General features: G+C 38.6%; 1 protein-coding gene across 15 annotated transcripts in view; it reads right to left on the bottom strand.

The window, feature by feature from the left end:
• The window catches only part of CD96 (CD96 molecule), a 123,800-nt gene that overhangs the window by 1,263 nt on the left and 107,012 nt on the right, over positions 1-15,525 (bottom strand). For 5 of the 15 annotated variants that reach the window (NM_198196.3, XM_006713469.4, NM_005816.5 and 2 more), the window contains one exon: positions 12,362-15,036. In NM_198196.3, coding sequence (NP_937839.1) covers positions 14,928-15,036 — 109 coding nt within the window. In that variant the 3' untranslated portion in view covers positions 12,362-14,927. Of the gene's footprint in view, positions 1-1,570; positions 1,696-4,130; positions 11,684-12,361; positions 15,037-15,525 lie in introns of those variants that run through there. The other 10 variants (XR_241462.2, XR_007093307.1, XR_007093326.1 and 7 more) reach the window with 4 other exon arrangements.

The following is a 15,525-nucleotide window of genomic DNA, read 5'->3' as shown; positions in this document are numbered from 1 at the left end:
TTTATATTGACATTTTTGAAAAATATAGTCCTCTCTCCCTTTTTAATATACCTTTTTTTTGTTTAAAATTTCAACTTTTATTTTAGATACAGGGGTACATGTACAAGTTGCATGAGGATATTGTGTGATGCTGAGGTTTGGGGTACAGATCTTTTCATTTAGGTAGTGAGCATGGTACTTGATAGGTTATTTTTCAACCCATGCCTTCCTCCTTCCCTTTATGCTCTAGTAGTCCACATTGTCCATTGTTTCCATATTTATGTCCAGATGTGCTAAATGTTTAGCTCCCACTTATAAGTGAGAACACGTGGTATTTTTTTTTCCTGTTCCTGCATTACTTCACTTAGGATTTTGGCCTCAAACTACATCCACGTTGCTGCAAAGGACATGATTTCATTCTTTTTAATGGCTGCATAGTATTCCACAGTGTATATGTACCACATTTTTTTTCCAGTCCACAAATGATGGACAACTGGGTTGATTCTATATTTTTGATACTGTGAAGGGCACAGTGATGAGCATACATTTGCACGTCTTTTTGGTAGTATAATTTATTTTCCTTTGGGTATACACCCAATAATGTGATTGCTAGGTTGAATGGTAGCACTATTTTAAGTTCTTTGAGAAATATGCAGACTGCTTTCCACGGTGACTAACTTACATTCCCACCAGAAGTGTATAAGCGGCTGGGCGCAGTGGCTCAAGCCTGTAACCCCATCACTTTGGGAGGCTGAGGCAGGAAGATCACGAGGTCAGGAGATCGAGAGCATCCTGGCTAACATGGTGAAACCCCATCTCTACTAAAAATACAAAAAAATTTCTGGGCGTGTGGTGGCAGGCACCTGTAGTCTCAGCTACTCGGGAGGCTGAGGCAGGAGAATGGCGTGAACCCGGGAGGTGGAGCTTGCAGTGAGCAGAGATAGCACTACTGCACTCCAGCCTGGGCAACAGAGCGAGACTCCATCTCAAAAAAAAAAAAAAGTGTATAAGCATTTCTTTTCTTCACAACCTTGCCAACATCTGTTTTTTGACTTTTTAATAATGGCCATTCTGGCTGGCGGGAGATGGTATCTCATTGTGATTTTGGTTTGTGTTTCTCTAATGATTAGTGATGTTGAACATTTTTTCATGTTTGTTGGCCACTTGTATCTCTTCTTTTGAGAAATGTCTGTTCATATCCTTTGTCCATTTTTTTAAAAGGAGTTGTTTTTTGCTTGTTGATTTGTTTAACTTCCCTTTAAATTCTGGATATTAGGCCTGTTGATTGTTTCTTTTGCTGTGCAGAAACTTTTTAGTTTAATTAGGTCCCACTTGTCTACTTTTGTTTTTGTTACAATTGCTTTTGGGGACTTAACCAAAAATTCTTTGCCAAGGCTGTTACAGTTTGGCTTTGTGTCCTCACCCAAGTCTCATGTTGAATTGTAATTCCCAGTGTTGGGAGAGAGATCTGGTGGGAGGTGCTTGAATCGTGGGGGCAGATTTCCCCCTTGCTGCTCTTGTGATAGTGAGTGAGTTCTCACGAGATCTCACAGATTTGTTTAAAAGTGTGTAGCAAAAAAGTACTACTCACTTTTTTGTTTGAAAGGGTGTAGGACTTCCTCCTTTGTTCTCTCTCTCTCCTGCTTACTTCCCCTTTGCCCTTCCACCATGTTTGTAAGTTTTCTGAGGTCTCCCAAGCCATGCTTCCTGTATAGCCTGTGGAATTGCGAGTCAGTTAAACCTCTTTTCTCCATAAATTACTCAGTCTCAGGTATGTCTCTATAGCAGTGTGAGAATGGACTAATACAGAAAATTGGTGCCAGAGAAGTGGGGCATTGCTATAAAGATACCTGAAAATGTGGACACAACATTGGAACTGGGTAAGGAGCAGAGGTTGGAACAGTTTGCAGGGATCAGAAGAAGGCAGGAAGATGAGGGAAAGTTTGGAACTTCCTAGAAACTTGTTGAATGGACCAAAATGTGGATAGTGATATAGACAGTGAAGCCCGGGCTGTGGTTGTCTCAGATGGAGATGTGGAACTTATTGGGAACTGGAGTAAAGGTAACTTTTGTTATGCTTTAGCAAAGAGACTGGTGGCATTTTGCCTCTGCTGTAGAAACCTATGGAACTTTGAACTTAAGAGAGATGATTTAGAATATCTGGGAGAAGAAATTTCTAAGTGCAAAGCAAGTAAATTGGTGACTTCTTAAAGCCTATGCTCATTTGCATAAACAAAGAAATAACCTGAAACTAGAACTTATATTTAAAAAGGAAGCACAGCATAAAAGGTTGGAAAATTTGTAGCCCAACCATGTGGTAGAAAAGAAAAATCCATTTTCTGGGGGGACTTTCGAGGCTGCTGCAGAAGTTTGCATAAGTAAAGAAGAGCTGAATGTTAATAGCCAAGACAATGGGGAAAATGCCTCCAAGGCATTTCAGAGACCTTCACAGCAGCACCTTTCATCACAGGCCTGGAGGACTAAGAGGGAAAAATGGTTTCCTGGGCTAGGCCCAGGGCTCCACTGCTCTGTGCAGCCTTGGTACATGGTGCCCTGCATCCCAGCCACTCCAGCTCCAACTGTGCCTGAAAGGGGCTCAGTTACAGCTCAGGCTGTTGCTTCAGAGGGTGCAAGCCCAAGCCTTGGAAGCTTCCATGTGGTTTTGGACCTGCAGGTGCGTAGAAGGTAAGAGTTAAGGTTTGAGAACCTCTCCCTAGATTTCAAAGAATGTACGAAAATGCCTGAATGTCCAGGTAGAAGTCTGCTGCAGGGGCAGAGCCCTCAGGAAGAACCTCTACTAGGGTAAGGCAAAGGGGAAATGTGAGCTTGGAACCCCCATACATAGTCCCCACTGGGGCACTGCCTAGTGGAGCTGTGAGAAGAGGGCTACTGTTCTCCAGGCCCCAGAATGGTAGATCCACTGACAACCTCACCATGCACCTAGAAAAACTGCAGGCACTCAATGATGGCCTGTGAAAGCAGCCAAGAGGACTGTACTCAGCAGAATCACAGGGGCGGAGCTTTCCAAGGCCTTGGGAGCCCACCCTTTGCATCAGTGTGACCTGGATGTGAGACATAAAGGAGATTATTTTGGAGCTTTAAGATTTAATGATGGCCCTGCTGGTGTTCAGACTTGCATGGGGCCTGTAGCCCCTTTGTTTTGGCCAATTTCTCCCTTTCAGAATGGGAGCATTTACCCAACATCTGTACCCTCATTGTATCTTGGAAGTAACTAACTTGTTTTTTATTTTACAGGCTCATAGGCAGAAGGGACTCGCCTTGTCTCAGATGAGACTTTGGACTTGGACTTTTTACTTAATGTTGGAATGAGTTAAGACTTTTGGGGACTGCTAGGAAGGCATGATTGTATTTTGAAATGTGAGAAGGACATGATATTTGGGAAGGACCCGAGTGGAATGATATGGTTTGGATCTGTGTCCCCATCTAAATCTCATGTTGAATTGTAATTTCCAGTGTTGGGAGAGGGGCTTGGTGGGAGGTGACTGGATCATGGAAGTGGGTGTCCCCCTTCCTGTTCCCAGGACAGTGAGTGAGTTCTCATGAGATCTTGTTGTTTTTTAAAAGTGTGTAGCACTTTCCCCTTCACTCTGTCACTCCTGCCGCCATGTGAAGACATGCTTGGTTCCCCTTCACCCTTCTGCCATGATTGTTAAGTTTCCTGAGGCTTCCCCAGCCATTCCTCCATACAGCCTGTGGAACTCTGAGTCAATTAAATCTCTTTTCTCCATAAATTACCCAGTTTCAGGTATGTCTCTATAGGTGTGAGAATGGACTAGTAGAAAGGCCAATGTCATCAATAGTATTTCCTAGATTTTCTTCTAGGATTTTATAGTTTAAGGTACATTTAAATATTTGATCCATTTTGAGTTAATTTTTTTATATGGTGAAAGATAGGAGTCCATCTTTGGTCTTCTGCATATGGCTAGCCAGTTATCCCAGCACCATTTATTGAATTAGGAGTTCTTTCCCCATTGCTTGTTTGTATCAGCCTTGTTGAAGATCAGATAGTTGTACATGTATGGCCTTATTTATGAATTTTCTATTCTGTTGCACGGGTTTATGTGTCTGTTTTTGTACCAGAACCAAGCTGCTTTGGTTACTGTAGCTTTATAGTATAATTTGAAGTTGGGTAGTGTGATGCCTCCAGCTTTGTTCTTTTTGTTTTGGATTGCTTTGGCTATTCAGCCTTGTTTTTGCTTCCATATAGATGTTAGAATAGTTTTTTTTTCTAATTCTGTGAAGAATAACTTTGGTAGTTTGATAGAAATAGCATTGAATATGCAAATTTCTCTGGCTAGTATGGCCATTTAAAAAATATTGATTATTCCAATCTATGAGCATGGCATGTTTTTCCATTTATTTGTGTCATCTCTGATTTCTTTCAACAGTGTTTTGTAGTTTTTCTTGTAGAGATTGTTCACTTCCTTGGTTAGCAGTATTCCTAGGTATTTTGTTTTCTTCATAGCTATTGTAAGTGGGTTTGTGTTCTTGATTTCACTCGCAGCCTGGATGTTTCTGGTGCATAGAAATGCTACTGATTTATACACTGATTCTGTGACCTGAAATTATACTAGTCTGTGAGTTGTAGGAGCCTTCTGGCAGAGTCTTTAGGATTTTCTATACAGAGTCATGCCATAAGTGAAGAGAGATAGTTTGACTTCTTTCACTATTGGGATGGCTTTTGTTTCTTTCTCTTGCCTGATTGCTCTGGCTAGGACTTCCAGCACTATGTATAACAGGAGTGGTGAGAATGGACATACTTGTCTTGTTTCAGTTCTCAAGGGGAATGGCTTGAGCTTTTGCCTATTCAGTATGATGTTGGCTGTGGGTTGGGCATGTATAACTCCTATTATTTTGATGTATGTTCCTTTGATGCCTAATCTGTTGAGGAATTTTTTCATGAAAGAATGTTGGATTTTATCTTAAGCTTTTTCTGTATCTATTGAGATGATCATATGTCTCTTGCTTTTAATTCTGTTTATGTGGTGAATCCTATTTATTGGTATGAATATGTTAAACCAGCCTTGCATCCCAGAAATAAAGCCTACTTGATTATGGTATGTTAACTTTTTGATGTGCTGCTAGATTTGGTTTGCTAATATTTTTGGAAATTAAAGAACTTCCTCCTGAATAACTACTGGGTAAAATAAAAAAATTCCTTGCAACTAATGAAAATAGGTTTACAAGTTACCAAAATCTCTGGGATGCAGCCAAAGCAGTGTTAAGAGGAAAGTTTAAAGTCCTAAATGCTTTCATCAAGAAGTTAGAAACATCTAAAAATTAGCAGTCTAATTCTGCACCTAAAAGAATAGAAAACCAACCCCAAAGCTAACAGAAGTAAAAAAATAATTAAAATTAGAGAAGAGCTTAATGAAGTTGAGATGCAAAAGATCCATGAAACAAAAAGTAGGTTCTTCAAAAAAATAAAATAAGAGATTGATAGACTGGTAGCAAGATTAACAAAGAAAAGGAAAGAGAAGATTCAAATAAGAACAATCAGAAACAATATTACAACTGATCCCACGTAAATACAAAAGATCCTCAGGGACTATGATCAACTATATGCACAGAAGTTAGAAAATCTAGAGGAAATGGATAAATTTCTGGAAACACACAATCTCCCAAGATTAAATCAGGAAGCAATTGAAATCTTGAATAGACTAATATCAACTTCTGAAATTGAATTAGTAACAAAGAACCTACAAAGCAAAAGAAGCCCTGGACCCAATGGATTCACAGCCAAATTCTACCAGATGTACAAAGAACTGACACGATCCTACTGAAACTATTCCAGAAAATTGAGGAGGAGGGGCTTTTCCCTAACTCATTCTCTGAAGCCAGCATCAGACTGATACCAAAATCTGGCAGAGACACAATGAAAAAAGAGAACTTCAGGCCAATATCCCTGATGAACACAGACACAATAGAATATATCTTATTTTGTATTTATTTGATGCTACTTTGTGATTAGATTTAGTTTGGTTATTCTCTGCCCTAATACTCCATAGGTGATATTGTATCCTTCCCAGAGTATTACATTTGGAGGAGCACAAGATCCCTGTCTCTCTCACTGATGATATTAATTTTGATCACTTGGTCAAGTTCTTGTCTAATTTCTCCACTGCATAGTTACTGTTTCTGTTTCTCCTGTGTAACCAATAAGATTTTACAGGGAGGCACTTAGAGACCATGCATATATCCTGATCTTCATCAAAATTTCCTCAACTTAGTATCCATTGATGATTCTAGCCTGATGCAATCTTTATTATGCTGATTACAAAATGATAACTTCTGAATTTCAGCACTCCCTTCGTATTTCTTAATCTGCTCTTGAAGTTTTGCTATAGGTGAGAGCCCTCCTTTCTCTCTCTGTCTCTCTCTGACTACCTATCTACCTATCTATATAGCTATCACTTACTACTGGTAAGGACTCATGAATTCCTGCTTTTCTCAATGGTTTCTAACTCATTAATATACTTAACTATATCGATAGTCAAATTTTCCTAGATGTATACAGTGGGAGTCCTTTCAAACTGACTCCTATATCCTTCTGACATACCCTAGCAGTTTTTGGACTATGTTCTTATTTTCTGACCTAACAAAGTATTTCAAGTTCACTTATGTTTACTTTGTCCTTAGACATTTCTCTGAGTTCAGTTCCTTTCAGCAGGAAATTATACTGAAGACCAAGATGCGGATGCTAGGTATGCTCTTTGCTACCGGGATATCTTTCTTTCTTAGTCCTTTCAAAAGGCACATCTGGGAAATATAGGCACATATACATATTTGCAATGCAAAACACATATGCATGCTCAAGCACATTTACACACAGACGTGATTAAGATTAAGATTACCAGTGAAGGACAGGTGGACATCATGGGTCTCCAGATGTGATGCTTGGGAAGGACACTAACCTTCATGCGCATACACATGCACACACACACACATATACACACACATATTGTGGAAATCATGAGTTTGCATTGATACTGCCAATTTGACTCCATCCCTGCATCTACACAGGGTTCTTTCCAGTCTTTCCTTATTCCATATTTATATGTTCCTTTTCCCTCAATGAGAACCTGGGCACCCAATGACAACACATTTACATAATCTTATAATACAGAACAATGTTTCAAAATTGCTTTGCTTATATCATTACAATAAAAAAATCTTACTACCAAGCCTTCCAGATTTGCTTACAATTCTCACCTTGTTCCCACCACCCCCACCCCACCCTACACGAGACTGGGGTATATAGTCAAATATATAGTCAAATTTTGTGTTCCTAGCTACTTGAATTAGGTTTTTTTTTTTTTGAAATGGAGTCTTACTCTGTTGCCCAGTCTGGAGTGCAGCGGTGTGATAGCTCACCACAACCTCCACCTCCTGGGTTCAAGTGATTCTCCTGCCTCAGCCTCCTGAGTAGCTGGGACTACAGGCACATGCCACCATGCCTGGCTAATTTTTGTATTTTTAGTAGAGATGGGGTTTCACCATGTTGGCCAGGCTGGTCTCAAACTCCTGACTTCGTGATCTGCCCACCTTGGCCTCCCAAAATGCTGGGATTACAGGTGTGAGCCTGGATTGGATTAGTTTTTCCTAAAAACTAATCCACCTGGCCTGGATTAGTTTTTTCTTTCTTTTTTCTCTTTCAGTGTGCTTATGGTATTTATTTAAAATACAAATAGTTTTCTTTCAGTTTTAGTTTTTTTTCCTGTTCTTATTTATTTAATTTTATTATTTTAATACATAGAATACTAATATTCTTTTTTTCAGACAAAATTATACAGAAAGGTATATGCAGGAAAGGACACTTCTCCATATATCCGTCACACTCTTCCTTCTTTACCCCTCAACTCCAGCATTTCTTGATTTATCTCTCCTGTTCCTTTTTGTAAAAATAGGCATATACATATTTCATTTTTTTAATTTTTCCTTCTTTCTTACACAAAGGTAGCATATTACATGCTCTTTGTACTTCACCTTTTTCCCTTAATAATATCTCTGGAAATCACTCAATATCAGTTGATAGAGATTTTCTTCTTTTTTGTTTTTACAACTGCACATTAACTCTATTTTGTGTATTTACTACATTTTATTCAACCAATCTCCTATATTGGACATTTAGATAATTTCAAATACTTTGTGAATACACATAATGATACCAAAATAATCTTGTGCATATATATTCTGATATTGTTGGAGGCTGAGTTTCATGGTGAATTCCTGAAGATGAATTACAATGTCAATGAATAAATTAATATATAGTTTTGTTAGATATCATCATATTCTTCTCAATATTGGTGGCACCATTTTGCACTCCCTTCAGCAGTATATGAGTGTGCATGTTTTCCCCAAAGCCTTGATAACGGACAATATTGTCAAACTTGAAATTCATGACAACTAAATGGAGAAGAACTGATGTCTCAGTACATTTTTAAATTTTGATTTCTTTTATTATGAATACATTTCATGTTTTTCAAATGATTAAGAGTCATTTTAATTTTTGTGTGTGAATTATTTGTTCATGGCTTTAGCCCATTTTTCATAGGATTTTTCAGTTTTTTATCCTCAATATTTGTAAGTTCTTTATCAACTAAGTATATTGATAAAGGTATGTATATTGATATATCATCTGTGATATATGTTGTAAATATTTTCACTTACTTTATTATTTGTCCTTTGACTTTGCTTTCTCTCTCATGAATATTTTTATTCTTAAGTAGCTAAATTTATCCATCTTTTCTTTCATTGCATATATATTCATACAATTGCAGTTATATAGATGTATACCATAGAGAATAGTATATGTATATATGCATACATATATATAAAACTATATATAGTATTTATATACTATAACTGTACATATATATGTATCTACAAATACAGCTGTAGATAGATTTGCATGCATGTATTATGTATATATGTAGTTAAGAAAATATCCCTTTTTCTCAAGAGTTTTTAGTAGGAATGGGTGTTGAATTTTGCCAAAGATTTTTTAAACAGCTATGGAGATTATTCCTATCCTTTTTCTCCTTAGTTCTATTTATATGGTAAATTATATTAAGCAATTTTCTATCATCAGATGCTTCTTACATTCTTGGTATAACCCTTAGGTAATGTTTTCAAGTCCCATCACTATGTCTCAGATATCAGGGTCTCTACTGCAGTGGCCTTGCCTCTATTGACAGCCTCCTTTCTGAAGCCTTTAAAAGTATTTCTCATATGTTGTCCCTGAAATCATACCTTTTTCTTTATTATTTTCTCTTCTTTGCGCATAACTTAATTTTTATATCTGTAACACTGTACTGTATATATTTGTTTAAATGTCTCTCTCTTCCATTAAATTTTACATTCACTGAAGGCAATAAGTAGTTCTTAGATTTTTTTAATATCAATTTCATGAGTGTGGAATCTACAAACCCTAAACTGGCCATCGAAAAGAGGTATTCAGGAAAAGTGCTTGTCAGACTTTTCTAGTAACTAGCCACAAAATTAAAATCAATTCTTATTTATTACTGTGTTAGATTTCAGATTCGTTAGTCACCAAAGCATGTCCCTTTGAATCAGTGCAATGGCTTTATGTATAAGAAAAATCCAATGCAACCCAATTATCTGTAAGAGTGGAATTAGGCTTATCTCAAACCAGTGATGCAAAAATGATTCTACCATAGATGGAATTCTCAGATCCCTGATCATCTTCCCATTCAGCCTTAACAGATATTTAAGCTTTGAAGAGAGAAAATGCAGAATAGAGAGGTTAACTCTTATACATGGCTCTCAGGATATGAGGTCCACTATCAAACTTCTCTGCAGGATTCATGTAACTGTTGTTCTATCCCCTCCAGCCTACCTTCTTGGCACTTTTAAGTACTTTCTGGTGATAGTTGAATGGCATAATGCTGTAGCCAATTTTATTTGGTGATATATCTTCTTTGGACAGTAAATGGGGTATAGTCTGACAAAACTCAGGGCAAATGTGCATAAGTTTGTGGCATTCACCCAGGGTAGCTGGATATGGCCCCAGCCATGCTCTCTTCTTTATGTTGTGATATTGGGTTTGTTGCTCTTCCCTATTATTCCCCCCAGTGTCCCTCCCCACAATCACAATGCCACAGTCTTTGAACAAATATGAGGAACCTGAGTGTGCAGAACAGGAAAGAGTTTGGAGATTTGGATAACAGAGATTGGAGGATACAAAGATGCTGTCTGAGGAGAAAAATTTAGATTCTATTGTTCCCATTTCTGTGTTATTTGCACCCACAAAATATCAAGACCCATCACAGATGCACCATTCAAGCTTTAACAATAATTCCAAAAGTGTTCCCTGGCCCTGACCTAGCTTAAGGTCATAGTATCCTGCTTTCTGGTCATGCCTTCCTGGCTGGAGCATGGTGCCTTTGTTAGTAATCGAGGAAATCCAGGAAAAAGGTACCTTTGCAGGAGCTGGGAAATAACTGCCTTGATTCCCCAATTCTCACTATGTGTTTCTGCCAGTTAATGTGGACACCCATCCTTTAGCTGGTTGACACAGCCATGATTGCTGTTGTCAAACAGTCGGTTAGGCTATGCATTTCAGCCCTCGTCTCAGAGAGAACAAAGTTTCTATATTTCTGAAGATTCAACCTTCAGGTTCAAAGCCACCCTCCTAAGTCTGGGTGCCAAGAGGGCTACCTTTAAGGACCTCTTCCCCTGTTCAGAGCCTCTGAGACATTTTTCATTATCTCTGGCCTTAGTAAGTTTCTCTAAACTTTCTTTTCAACTTCTGATCTTGATTAATCTCTTTTCTCTTTCATTTCCTCATTTTCTTTGACATTTTTTAGAGCTTCCCATCCCCCAGGGTTAATTATTTCTACTTTTCATTGTTTTCTGTTACAATTTTTAGCATATACTACCAAGGCATAAAAAAAAAAAATTATCGCTTCTCAGCCTTTTGGCTAAGATCAAGTGTAAAAAAAAAATATTGACCTAAAAGCACACAAAGCAGCAGCTCTTGTCTATAGTAAAAGGAGATACCAAAGCAATTAAATATTGATTACACTCTAGGCTAGAAATCAGAGAGCTGGGTCATCACGTTGGTTTTACCATTTCTAATTGTGTGACCTTGGACAAGTCAATTTCACAGAACCCTTAACTCATTTTGTAAAACGACCTCTAAAACCCATCCTGGTCAAATGTTCTATGATTTTTAAAGATCTATAAATGCAAAGTTATTTTGGGGAAGTCAACCATATCTTCTTGTTAAAACAAAACTCATGCTGAACCAAAGAAAATAGAAAATACTATTTTTTTAAAAAAATAAAGCACGCATTAGGCACTTACGTATGAGCTAAAATATGCCTACCTCTGGATCTATATGTGTAGGTTAACTATTGCTACAATGTTGTGTAATAACCACACAATTTCAGTGGCATGCAATAATATCTAACTTATGTGCCTGTTGAGGTAGGCTGTGAGTTTTGCTGATCTGGACTGGACCAGCCTTGGGTGGTACTGCTCCATGAGCCTTTCTTTTTCTTCTTGGCACAGTAGGCTAGTCTGAAAACGATCTTCTCATGGTGATGGTAGAAAAGAAGAGAGTGAATCCAATCATAGAAGTACTTTTCAAGCCTTGGGTTAGTCGTGCCCATGATATTCCATTGCAAAACAAATCATGTTATCAAGCTGAGGAGTTCTCCTGGTGCAGGTGGGTAAGGAAACGAACATATGAATAACAATGTTAACTAACACATAGTGCTTTGGAAATGAGTGACAAACATGCGTACATATGGCTTTTTCTCAGTGAAAATGAAACTTTAGGGATTAGGATCTAGTATTGCTATTTCTCCTATGAGACAGAGCTAAATTCACTAACAGAGACAGGAGTTGCTGGTTGAGTCAGACTCTATGAATTTACTCGCACACAATTTAAGGCTCAAATGAAACTGTCATTTTAGTCAAATAAGGGTGGTCAAGCTCACAGTACTAACTAAAAGGCAACTGGAGCCCCTCTAATTTGCAGGTTTGTGAAAAGTTCCTCTGAACTACTCACTGAAGATCCCTCCATTGATAAGCAACCGCTCACTCTATTCAAGTGGTAATGAATGTGCAAATGCTGACCAGAACTTAATTACGATACTAAAAGAGTGTACTTCAAAGAAGAGCTAATATAAAAACACAGAGAGACACCTGTCATCTGATAGATTGATAAATTACATGAATTTATGTTATACTGTAAAACTGTCTCTCCCTTTAGTGAAACAATCCAAATACCTCCAACTCTGCCACTCTCTACTCCTAACTCTGCCACTCCCTACCCCCACTTTCTGCTTGTATTCATATATTATAGTAAAACAGTAAAATAAAACCACAATGCTTTGTATACAAATTACTGATGATTAAGTCTTGTTAAATACAAATAGCCATACACATGAAGCAAAGCAACAGCCATACATATGAAGCTAGCATTTGTTTCTTGAGAACTAATAAGGAACTAAAGATAAATAATTAAGGCAGGTAAACAGTTTATTTTTCTAGTTGTTGAGCTGTATAGTTATCTGTCGCTATGTAACAAATTATACTCAAAATTAATGGTGTTAAACAATAAGCACTTATTATCTAATAGTGTTAGAAGTTCAGAAATTTAGTAAAAGGCTTAGCTGGGTAGTTCTGGCTCTCTTGAGGTCTTGGTCAAAAGATCAACTGAAGTTGCAATTATCTGAAGACTTGACTGGAGGCTGGAGGATCTGCTTCCAAGATGGCTCCCTTACATGGCTGGCAAGTTGGTGCTTGTTAGCAAAATACCTTAGTTCCTTGACAGGTAGATTTCTTTCTTTCTTTCTTTCTTTCTTTTTTTTTTTTTTTTGAGGCGGAGTCTCGGTCTTTCACCCAGATTGGAGTGTGCAGTGGCACAATCTCGGCTCACTGCAAGCTCTGCCTCCCGGGTTCCCACCCTTCTCCTGCCTCAGCCTCCTGAGTAGCTGGGACTACAGGTGCCCGACACCACACCCGGCTAATTTTTTGTATTTTTAGTAGAGACGGGGTTTCACTGTGTTAGCCAGGATGGTCTCGATCTCCTGACCTCGTGATCCACCCACCTCGGCCTCCCAAAGTGCTGGGATTACAGGCGTGAGCCACTGCGCCCGGCCACGACAGGTAGATTTCTCAATAGGGCTGCCTTGGTGTCTTCATGGCATGGGAATGGGCTTTTCCCAGTGTCAGTATGGTCAAAGAGAGATCAAAGAAGAAGCCACAGTGTATTTTGTGACCTAGCCTTGGTCACTTCCAAGCTTTTTTGGCTATACCAATGGTGAGAGTGGTACTCATTCTCAACATTGTGCAAGTGCATGACCCTGAGTGTGAATACCTCCTTAAATTTTTTCCCTAGGTGCATTGATTGCCTCCCCTTAATCCTGGCCTCAGGTTACACAAATCATCTGTATTCAGCATTGGAGGGGACCACATAAAGATGTGAATAGTAGGAGGCAAGAACACTGGGGCTCATCTTGGAGGCTGGCCACCACAAGAGTTAAGCACCTACCTAAGATTCTGAGCCATGAGAAAGAACTTCCACAGGCTCGATGGTTCTCAACTTTGGCTGAACATGTGAATCATTTGAGAGTGTTGATGCCTGTGTCTCACTCCTCAGACATTCTGATTTAATTGAACTGAAGTGTGACAGCCATGGTGTTTAAGAAAAAGACATAATCTCCAAATAACTCTGCACAAGGCATTCTCATGTGCAGTCAAGGATAAGCATACTGCAAGTGAACTAAAGTTTCCTTTTGGGACTAAAGTCCACACAGAATTTGCCTATCACTCTATCTGTCAACAACATCTGTTTTTCCCTCCTGGAGCAGGGAGTGTGGGAAGGTTTCAAGCGACAAGGAGGATTAGTAATTTATTCATTCACAAACTATTGCTGAATACAGAGCACGTCTGGCTGACTAGGTTTCTTCTCTGACACCTATACATTCTGCTTCAACTGCTTTAAAAAAGATTGGTAGGAGCAGGGTTAATTAATCAGTGCTGGTCTGATTTGAGGCTCTTTATCTTTTTCAAAACAGATCAAAACAGGCAGATTAAATGAACAGGTAAATCCCCAGATGAAAAAGAGAATAACTGGAATTAGAAAGTAGGGTTGGGCTTAGGCTGCCTGTTTACTTACAAAACAGTTTGGTTCCAGTTTGATGGACATACACACGAAGGCACTCAAATGAAACCACTCTTGGCTAATATAATTTTAGAGGCCAGTGGAGTTTTGTATCTTCTAGGCTACTGGGTTTTTGGCTAATTATCTCTTTGATCCCTCTTCATCCTGGTCCATGTGGCAGGAGTCTGGGCTGAACATGGTAGGAAGACAGTGAAGGAGGATTGAAAATGTGGTTCCTGTGCAAAGTATTCTGTTTCCTTCCATGAAAATAAGCAACAGAATTTCAATATGAAGACTAACCATACTTCTCCATTACTTGGCAGCCTTGTTAGCACTTTTACATTTTCTTTTTCCTGTAATTATCTTAGGGAATGCAGCAAAGCCCCAGGATTTTGGCAAAGAGTTTACAATGTTGATAGATGTTCAAATAAGAGGATCAGGCATGGGCATACAGTTGAAACCATTGTTGTCCCTCCATCAGAGAATTTAAATGAAAATACTGTATTTTTTTTTAAAGATGGCAGACTAATATGTACTTCTTACATAAGCAAGAAAACCACTACGAATTGCATTGAGTGTGAACATGACATATCCTCTCACTCTTGGTTAAGCTTCAGGCGTTTGGAGATGGAAGAGGGTGAGTTGCTGGGAAAACAGGTCACTCACTTCTGACTTCCATTTCAGCTGCAGCAAAGGCATGGCTGAAGAGCGACTATATTAATAAAGCACAATGTCTACCTTCTCAATAGGATTCCAGCAGAGTTCTGCCATGGGGCAAAGTCTCACGAGACTAGAGGGTCTCCATCTCATGATAAGGCAGATCACTTTCGTTGGGCTCTTGAATGCAAGTGTACTTGATGGGAGGTGGTGGTGGCTTGAAAGGTGGAGGTCTTTCCATTCTAGGAACAAAATATTGGTCTTTCAATGCTAAGAATTGAGGGAGTCTTATGCACACACACACACAGACATGTGTTGTTTCTTTAAAGGAGAACACAGATTGATGAGAAAGAGACATACTCTCCCAGTTCTTTCAGCATTTTTGCTGGCATAACCCTGTGCCTGTTAGTCACATTTGAACCTCATGATCTATACGGTATTTTGTAGTTTGCAAAGAATTTTTATCATAACATTATTTACTTTGTATGTAGAAATTGCCTCACCATCTACAGATAAAACTGAGCATTTTTATCATAACATTATTTACTTTGTGTGCAGGAAATGTATCATAACATTATTTACTTTGTGTGCAGGAAATGCATCACCATTCTACAGATAAAACTGAGGCTCAGAGGTTTTAAACAACTTGCTCAAGAGAACCAGACCAACAATTCAAGTCTTTTCACCAGAACTGATACTCTCCATGACAACTGCCTCCTAATAGAAGAAAT

This window comes from Homo sapiens, chromosome 3 (assembly GCF_000001405.40).
Source record: "Homo sapiens chromosome 3, GRCh38.p14 Primary Assembly".
Lineage (NCBI taxonomy): Eukaryota > Metazoa > Chordata > Mammalia > Primates > Hominidae > Homo > Homo sapiens.
The sequence above is the reverse complement of the archived record's forward strand: the minus strand, read 5'-3'. Positions and strand labels throughout refer to the sequence as shown.